At 48.4% G+C, this 8,522-nt stretch overlaps 1 long non-coding RNA gene across 8 annotated transcripts in view, besides 1 other annotated feature; it reads left to right on the top strand.

The window, feature by feature from the left end:
- Positions 1-8,522, top strand: part of MIR4435-2HG (MIR4435-2 host gene) — a 299,296-nt gene that overhangs the window by 5,035 nt on the left and 285,739 nt on the right. The window lies entirely within an intron of this gene.
- Positions 2,217-3,069: an enhancer, noted in NCBI's record as "H3K27ac-H3K4me1 hESC enhancer chr2:112244635-112245487 (GRCh37/hg19 assembly coordinates)". NCBI's record gives its function as "activates a minimal SCP1, AML or CMV promoter by ChIP-STARR-seq in naive H9 embryonic stem cells {active_cell/tissue: H9 hESC(naive)}" and the evidence as "EXISTENCE:reporter gene assay evidence [ECO:0000049][PMID:30033119]".

The raw sequence follows: 8,522 nt of genomic DNA, 5'->3' as shown, positions 1-8,522 counted from the left end.
AGACTCCTCTGCAGGCCTTTCCTTGAATTCCCAGCTAACCCTTTCAGCCTAGTCTTTCACTGGCCACCCTATCTGTAAAGGAGCTGGAGGAGGAAGATGGAGGAGTGAGGCAAGGCCCTGAGATGATGCAGAGCAAGGGGCACACAAGAGGGGACTCAGGTCCAAGGTGAAATAGCAGCAAGCACTCTCCCTCCAAAACCCACCGCCTCCTTATGAATCCCTTTGGCCTTGATTATGCCAGTAGATAATGGGTATGTGACAGTTTTAGCTTCTCTGGCCTTTGATCAGGTTGATTTATGTGAATAGACTCCATGTCCTTGGAGATGAACCTGTTCTAAAAATTCTAAGCAACCAGCCATTTGGCTCTTTGCTGGAAAGTAGCCTGGCTTTTGAAGCCAAGTCTGGACAGTTTCCTTGCTGCACCTCAGGACTCAAAGGACATGGTCCTGACTCAGGAAGAGCTGGCTTTGAGGGAAGGGGTGAGTCATGAACCCAAGCACAGCAGAGATTCTTGGTGTGTGCTGCAGAAGGTGAGAGTAGCCCCCATCTCCCTGTGCCAGTCTCCTGGGGGAAATTTATGATGGCCTTACATAATTGGGCTTATATGTGTTTCACTAGAAAGACAAAAAAAGGTGAGACCTTGTCTGCCAATTCGCTACCACCTCCTTGGGGTCTAAGAGCTAGGCTGTTTGTTCAAAGCTAGGCTCCTTTGTGTATTAACAGTGTGACCCCGGGCATCATCCTTAACCCCTCTTTGTCCCAATTCCACATCTGAATGATGGGGATGATAATGGTAGACTCTGCCACATATGGTTCTGAGGACTAAGTGAGGCCACATGTGCAAAGGATCCGGAACAGTGCCTGGCCCCAAGTCAGCCCTCAGGCAACAGAACAGTGTTTGGATTGTCCTTGTTGCTTTATTGGATACGTGATAAGTACTGGTGAAATGCATGAATGAAAAGAAATCCCACTTGATTTTAATACAAGAATCAAGCAAGTGACTTCTGTCCCTTTGAATACCCTCCTCCAAGTGGTCCAAAGTCCTTGAAGCTACCATCTCCTTGGTACCCTTCCTGATGCTTCTGGTGTGGGCAATGAGGTTACTTCATCAAGTAGACCCTGGTTACAGAGAAGTTAAATGATTTGTCCCCAGGCCCACTCACAGGAGAGAGTACTATACAATATCAAGCTGGTTGTCTTCAGCACTCTGTTGTAGAGACTTCCAGTATGCATTCTCTTCTGCTTCCTCTGTTGTCAACCACAAGTCCATGTTGTTAGGGACAACAGTGTGCCCAGTTAAAAAACGATATTTCCTAGTCTCCTTTACAGATACGGTGGCCAATGAAAGATATAGGCTGAAAGGGTTAGCTAGGGATTCTAGAAAAGCTCTCTAAAGGAGACTGACATGTAATAGGCTTAGCATTTTGCACCTGAATTCTCTCCTTCCCCCTGTCTGGAATGCAGACGTGATGGCTGGAGCTCCAACAGCCTTCATGAAGCCATAAGACAATGTGGAGGAAAGAAACCAGTGCTAAGGATGGCAGAGCAGGCAGATGGTCACAGGTCTTTGGGTGACCAGCTATTTTGCCTGCCTGGAGATTTGACTATTTTTGGAGCCGGATGCAGAGGGAGGTGGGAAAAATATTCCAGCTGAAATTCAACCTGTAGGAGTATTTTTCAGGGTGTCAGGGTCACTTCTGTGTGGAGCTGCCTTTCAGGTCTCTGGTATAGGGGGCAAGGGTCATGGCCTCATGGTGATGCCCAGGGACCCCAGGTGCTTTGGTCTTTGCAGACCACTTTCTTATGAAAAAGCAGAGTGTGACTGCTCTGGCAGAAAGATAAATGTCATTCAGGCTGATTCATTATTATACATTCATTTTCGTTTATTTGTGGTTTTCCTCTGATTTTAAAATAAATCAAAATTAAAACACTTGTGCAGGCCCCTAACAGTATCATGGGCCCCATGCACTGTGCCCAGCATGCCCAGTGGACATGTAGGCCCCAAGAGGGCAGAGAGCAATCACAGAAGGACTTGCCCTGGCCAACATAGGCTGGTCTCTCTAGGGGCAGCTTCGGAATTGTGAATTACCCAGAGCTGCGTGCCAGGAAATGTGGACCTAACTCTTGCCTCTGAGGAAGGCAGGCAGGCTTGGTTTCATGTACTGTTGATGAGCCCGACATCCTCAATGCTCACTCGAGCTTTGGAAATGACAAGCAGGATTTTCAGAACAGGATTCTCTGTCCTGTCCCTGTTTTAATTTCAGCCTCCTTATTCCCCATGTAATAATTCTCCATACTGGCTCAATTATTTGTTTAACGGGTATGAATTCCAGTCTATAATGCCAAGGTATCAAAATGTGACGTACCTTTACTCTAGAAATCTCTAAATTATATTAAATCTGCTCCAAGATCGCCCTGCCCTACCTCACCCTCTCTGCCTGGTTATTGGGAGATTCAAATTCTGTCATTATTGGGGATCCTTTCTTGTCATAATGCTCCAGATGTCATCAAACAAACTTGGGCTTAGGTGATGCCAGGAAACCTGGGGGGGAGCATCCATTGTCTGCAGTGGCTGCTACCATTGCAACTTCGACACCTGCAGTCTCAGTGTGTGGGGGGCTCTGGGAGCTGCTCAGGGCCTGCTCCAGTTGGGGTGGACCCCACACCTCTCGTGATCTGTCCTCTAACTGTAGGCTCCGCTGCTGGAAATGTGTCGCTGCTCTCATGGCCACTGTGTGAGCTCCCAGTCTCGGCAAATGCACCCAGCAATGTCTGATTGATAGGGCACCCTCTGTGGGCCTTGTCCTGCTTGCTGCTAGCTGCTGCTGGGCCTCTCCCAGCCTGGGCCTCCTGTCTCAGTCTGAAGGCCAAGAGACAGCAGCGACAGCAGAGGAGGCAGAAACAGAAAACTCTCCGAGGACCCGGGGAAGTCACAAGGTGGCTTCCCAAACTCTCTAGTGCAGCACTGTCTGATAGAACCTTCTGCAAGGATGGAAAAGTTCTGTATCTGTGCTGGTCAAAGCAGCGGCCACAAGTCACATGTGGCTCCTAAGCAACTGAAATGTGGCTACTGTGACTAGGAACTGGATTGAAAGTTTTATCTAATTTCAGTTAATTTTAATTTAAATGCCCACAACTGCATGTGGCTACCAGGTTGGACAGCACACATGTGGAACACAGACTCCTGATCTGGGAGCCTTGAAAGATGAGCCGTCACTCTGATGAGGTGGAGGGCCTGAATTGAGCCCTGCGGTGGCACTCGGCAGGTCTTCAGAGGGGCTGGTGACCCCTCCAAGGTGCACAGCCCCTGGGCTACGAGCAGTGGCTAGTCAGGTTGGGGTCCCTGGCCTCTGCCATGAGTGGCCACTAGTGGAAGCCTCAATGTCTCCACCTCCAGTGGGCTCTCAGGCCTCACGTGCCCATGCCAGGGTAGGGGGCCTGTCGAGGAGGATGCCCTGGCACCCAGAGCTTCTCTGCTGTTTGTCCTGAGGGTTCCCTTGGGCTGGGGGCCTCAGGTGCAGGGCACATGCAGCCGGACTGTCCAGCCTTGTGGTATTTGCACATGAACTTTCCTGCGTGGGGATAGACAGCCTTATTCTTGTTTGTGTAAAGCCATTCCAGGAACTATTAATAGTTAGACTGGCATAAATAAGCCTCAGGTTTGGTTCTTGTTAGTGTCCTACAAATCCCTCAAACTTTACTCTTTTGGCTTTTTAAGGGAGAAGCTTTACAGTATGTTCAGGCACAATTGACAAGAAACATACAAGTTGTGCGGAGATGAGCAGACCCAGGGCCCCAGGCCTGAGCCTCTTTTCTCTCCCATGCCCTGCCTGCTCAAGTTACCTTGAGCACAAATGATGTCCTTCTGTGTGTGGGATCACAGACTGAGACATGGGGCTGTTCCTCCCCTGAAGTCACCCCTCAAGTTCCCCACATGATTTTACTCCTGGCTACTCCCCAGTTTGCTGTAGTTTGCTGGACCATGTGACCTTGGAGGGGCTCACAAGGCACAATGATGAAGCCACTGCCAGGGCTGAGCCTCAGCTCAACCAGCTACTTAATGCATGCATAGCAAGTTACTTAACACCTACTGACCTCAGTTTCCTCACCCGTAAACTAGAAATAGAGGAACAATTACCACAGAGAGTTGTTCTGAGGATGCAAAGAGTTCTTGCATGAAAAATTCTTAGGAAAGTGCTGCACATAGTAGGTATTCAATAGCATTAGCTATTTAGATTGGAATTAGTGGCTTTTTGCCATTTACTCCTGACTGTAGGAGCTGTTCTCTGGGCCCCAGATCTCCATTCCAGCAATGATCTCTCTCCTCCAACTCTGGCATTGGAGGAGTACCACAATCCTGCCTCCAGGTTTCATTTGCTGACACCCAGGGGCAGCATTAGGTGTAGAGTGCTGGACATCTAAGGGAAGAGGTTCAATTGTCCATCCGTTTAGTTATTTACTCATTATTCAATGAATGTTAATTGAGACCAGTCAGGGCAGCTGAGAAGCAGTGCGGTTGTGAGGAGGGCTGTTAGTAGGGGAGATGCAGGTGCTGGTGTGCTTCCCTGTATGAATATGGCAGCTAGTGCAGCGTCATGAAGAGGGAATCAGGGACACTCTGGGGATGTTAAAAACTCTGTTGATGTGGAATCAGAATCCCTGGGCCAGTCCTGCCTTCCTCTTGCTAGCTGTGTGGCCATGATCGAGGGTCCTCTTTGATCCTCCCTGATACATGGGCGAGGTGACCCACAGTGGCAGATGCTTAACCATCCAACATGGAGTCATCATCATTACTTAGACACCCTTCATTTGGAATCACGATTCTCAGTGTGAAGGGCACTTCCCACCATAGAAGCCCCTCTCTGTGAGCCCTCAGAGGGCTGTCTAATCCATAAGCCCTTTCCCTCCCAAAGAGGCAGCCCAGCGCATCACTGCAAAGCGCCAGCTGAGAAGACGTTCTATAAATTATCCAAAGCCTATTCTCTGGCACATCCATATTTTGGACCTAGCTTTGCCCCCGAAGTCATATAAGCATAGCCACGATGGGAAGGATGGTCATAACTCAACATGCCCATTCATATACCTTGAGCACATATCCTGTCCCAGAAACTGCTGAATTATTGCATGAGCCCCAGCTCCTTCCACACCAAAGCCCTTCCGACTGCATGGACCTCACCACTTCTTCTTTTTTTTTTTTTTTTTTTTTTTTTTTTTGAGACGGAGTCTCGCTCTGTCGCCCTGGCTGGAGTGCAGTGGCGGGATCTCGGCTCAATGCAAGCTCCGCCTCCCGGGTTCACGCCATTCTCCTGCCTCAGCCTCCCAAGTAGCTGGGACTACAGGCGCCCGCCACTACGCCCGGCTAATTTTTTGTATTTTTAGTAGAGACGGGATTTCACCCTTTTTAGCCGGGATGGTCTTGATCTCCTGACCTCGTGATCCGCCCGCCTCGGCCTCCCAAAGTGCTGGGATTACAGGCGGACCTCACCACTTCTGTTCAAGCTCTTCCTTCTTCTCATGATTCCTGGAAAGATTCTTTATGTGCTGAGGTGTTCAGCTACCCTTGATCTTGTGCTGCCTTCCACAGCATCTACTTGGCAACTTTCCAATGTCCCACTTCAGGTGGGCACAGTGACCTCCTTTGTCTGGTTTTTGGCAACCATACCTATCTGTTGGACCTGGGCACTGCACTGACAGCCAGCTGACCTCCCTGCCTCTCTGTGTGGGAACGTGCTGCAAAGCCACATCTCTCTAATTCTGTGTGTGTGTGTGTATATATATATATATCTTTTAGAGACAAGATCTCACTCTGTCACTCAGGCTGGAGTACAGTGAAGCAATCATAGCTCACTGCAGCCTTGAACTTCTGAGCTCAAGTGACCCTTGACCTCAGCCTCCTGAAGAGCTGGGACTACAGGCATGTGGCACCATGCCTGGCTAATTTTAAAATCTTTTTTTTGGTAGAGACGAGCGTCTCACTGTGTTGTCCAGGCTGGTCTCAAACTCCTGTCCTCCAGTGATCCTCCCACCTCTGCCTCTCAAAGTGCTGGGATCATTCTGAATATGAGGTGGTGACTTTTTAAAAAAAAACTTTTTTTTTAACCTAAGTAGAACTTTGCATTATCGCTGGTGTTGTCTTTTAGATTTAGCCCATGTATTCTCTAATATAAAACATGAAGCTTCATGTCATCTATAACTTGGAGTGGTATCCCCTTTACATCTTCACCAGAAGACCACTTGGATCAGTGAAGACCAAGAGCAGAGACCTGTGACATCCACTAGCGATTGTCTTCACTGTTGCCACTATCCCAGTGCTCTCGGGCACTGCATTGAACACAAATAGCTCCCCTTGCTGCACAAGTTTCACTGATGGGGGTAAAGGGGGTTATGAAATGTATCATGTGATCAAATCTGTGATAGTGATCCCACAGACAAATGGAGCATGTGGGGATGATTTAGACACTCAGCCAGCCTTGTCTTGATGGATACCCATCCTTCTCTGCTGCTCTCTCTTTCCTCCATCCTCAAGCACAGGGAGCTTTTGGCGAGGTTAGCTAACTTCGGGGCAGCTGTGAATTAGATACTGGCTGTAAGTTACCTCCAACATCCAGAGCATTTAAACGCTGGGCTGTCAATGATTGTCATTTTCATTGTTTACACATAATCACATCCTCAGTTTGTGGGGTGGATGCATTTGATTCAATTCAGATATGCCTTTCAAGCTGGCCCTGCTGAGCTGGGCCTGAAAGGCACATGGCTCATCTCATCTGCATGTGACAGTCTCTTTGAAGTCCCCAGAAGTGCCTGCTCAGAGTCATGCTCGGGAGGGAAGAGGTAAGGCACAGAATGAGTACAGACTGCCACCCAGCCGCAGGAAAGGTGACTGCACACCAGAGGTTCCTGGTAAGGAGGTGACTCACCCGTGACTGTCTCACCTGTCCAAAGTGTGTGTCACCTGCTCTGTGTTCACCCACTGGGTTCATCAGAGGGGCACTTGAACAAAACAGGAATGTCACTGGAGAGGGGAACAAATGCTGTCCCCAAGTCCTTCCCTGCCGTTTAGAGTAACACAGCCCCTGTCCGCACATCCTCACCCCCATCTGCCCTCTGCTTGCCAGAATTATCAGAATCTCTCCATTCTAATTTCAGCCATTCTCTGTGAAAATGAAAAGTTAGTGGCAGGCAATGGACACCCTATTGAAATAGAAATTGTTCTTCATATGTCAGAAAAGTCCCAGAGTAATCTGGGAGTAATCTGAGCAAACTGATTCAAAGGATTATTACAATTTCTTAGTCTTCTACTGCTGCAAAAGTGGCACTCTTTGATTCTCATGTTTGAGGTTCTAATTGCTACCTCATGCAGGACTTACGAGAGATCAGCCATGCTGCTTACACTGTGTGTAGTGAATCAATGTTATTCTGAAGGGCCTCCTGGAAGCAGTAGAGATTGGAGAATGTATGTCTTTTAACATGATCATTCCCATCCTATGGGGGTTGGGCACTCTTAACTCATGTTGCAGATGAGTAAACTGAGGCTTTTGAGAGTTTGAGGGTGCACAGCTTGAGGCAGAGGTGGAATTCCCAGCTTCATCCAAGAAACCACGAATCTCCAATGGCTTGCACACATCCAGGTTTGCTGGATCCTATTTGCCAAGACCACATGCAGATTAGGAGCCTTCAAACAAATTATTTCCAAGGGAGGGCATCTTTCTCTGTAACCCCTACCCTGGCAATTCTCCATGGCCTCAGGGAGTCCAGCCGGAAGCTCTGCGATGAGTCCTGGGGAACTCTCATCTGGAAAAAGGCGCTCATGACAGGTGGTGCCAACCTTCCACGGATGCTTTTCAGCATCTCTTGGGATGAGGATACAGAATTTCTCTTTCACCCTGTAAACGTGGTAAATGAGGGAATAGAATTTCCAGCTTTAATTTTTCTGAATAGGATTCAAAAATGAAATTGTATAAAAAGGTATCCAGTGAAAAACACACACCCATCCCCATCTCCCATCCAGTTCCCTCCGTAACCCTTTTCTTAGTTTCTTATATGTCCTTTGCAAATACAGTATAAGCAAAAAAGAATGGGCCTTTTTCTTTTCTTCCTTATTTTCCACAAAATCTATCAAAATGGGTTTTTTTTTGTTTTGTTTTGTTTGAGACAGGGTCTCACTCTGTTGCCCAGGCTGGAGTGCAGTGACACCATCACGGTTCACTGCAGCCTCGACCTCCCCAGGCTCAGTTGATCCTCCCATCTCAGCCTTCTGAGTTGCTGGGACTACAAGCATGCATCACCAGACCTGGCTAATTTTTCTATTTTTTGTAGGGACAGGGTTTTGCTGTGTTGCCCAGGCTGGTCTCAATCTCCTGGACACAAGCAATCTGCCTGCCTCAGCCTCATAATGTATTCTTTAATGTTAAACCCCTTCTTGTGTTGAGAGGCCTGGCTTGTGTGTTTGAGCGCAGCTGCCTACCTTTGCAGCTGTAAATGTCAGGGCTCCAGGAGGGCTGGCTGGGTCTCCCCTCCTCCCC

The sequence above is a fragment of the Homo sapiens genome, chromosome 2 (assembly GCF_000001405.40).
Source record: "Homo sapiens chromosome 2, GRCh38.p14 Primary Assembly".
Classification (NCBI taxonomy): Eukaryota; Metazoa; Chordata; class Mammalia; order Primates; family Hominidae; genus Homo; species Homo sapiens.
This window is presented reverse-complemented; position numbering and strand designations above follow the sequence as displayed.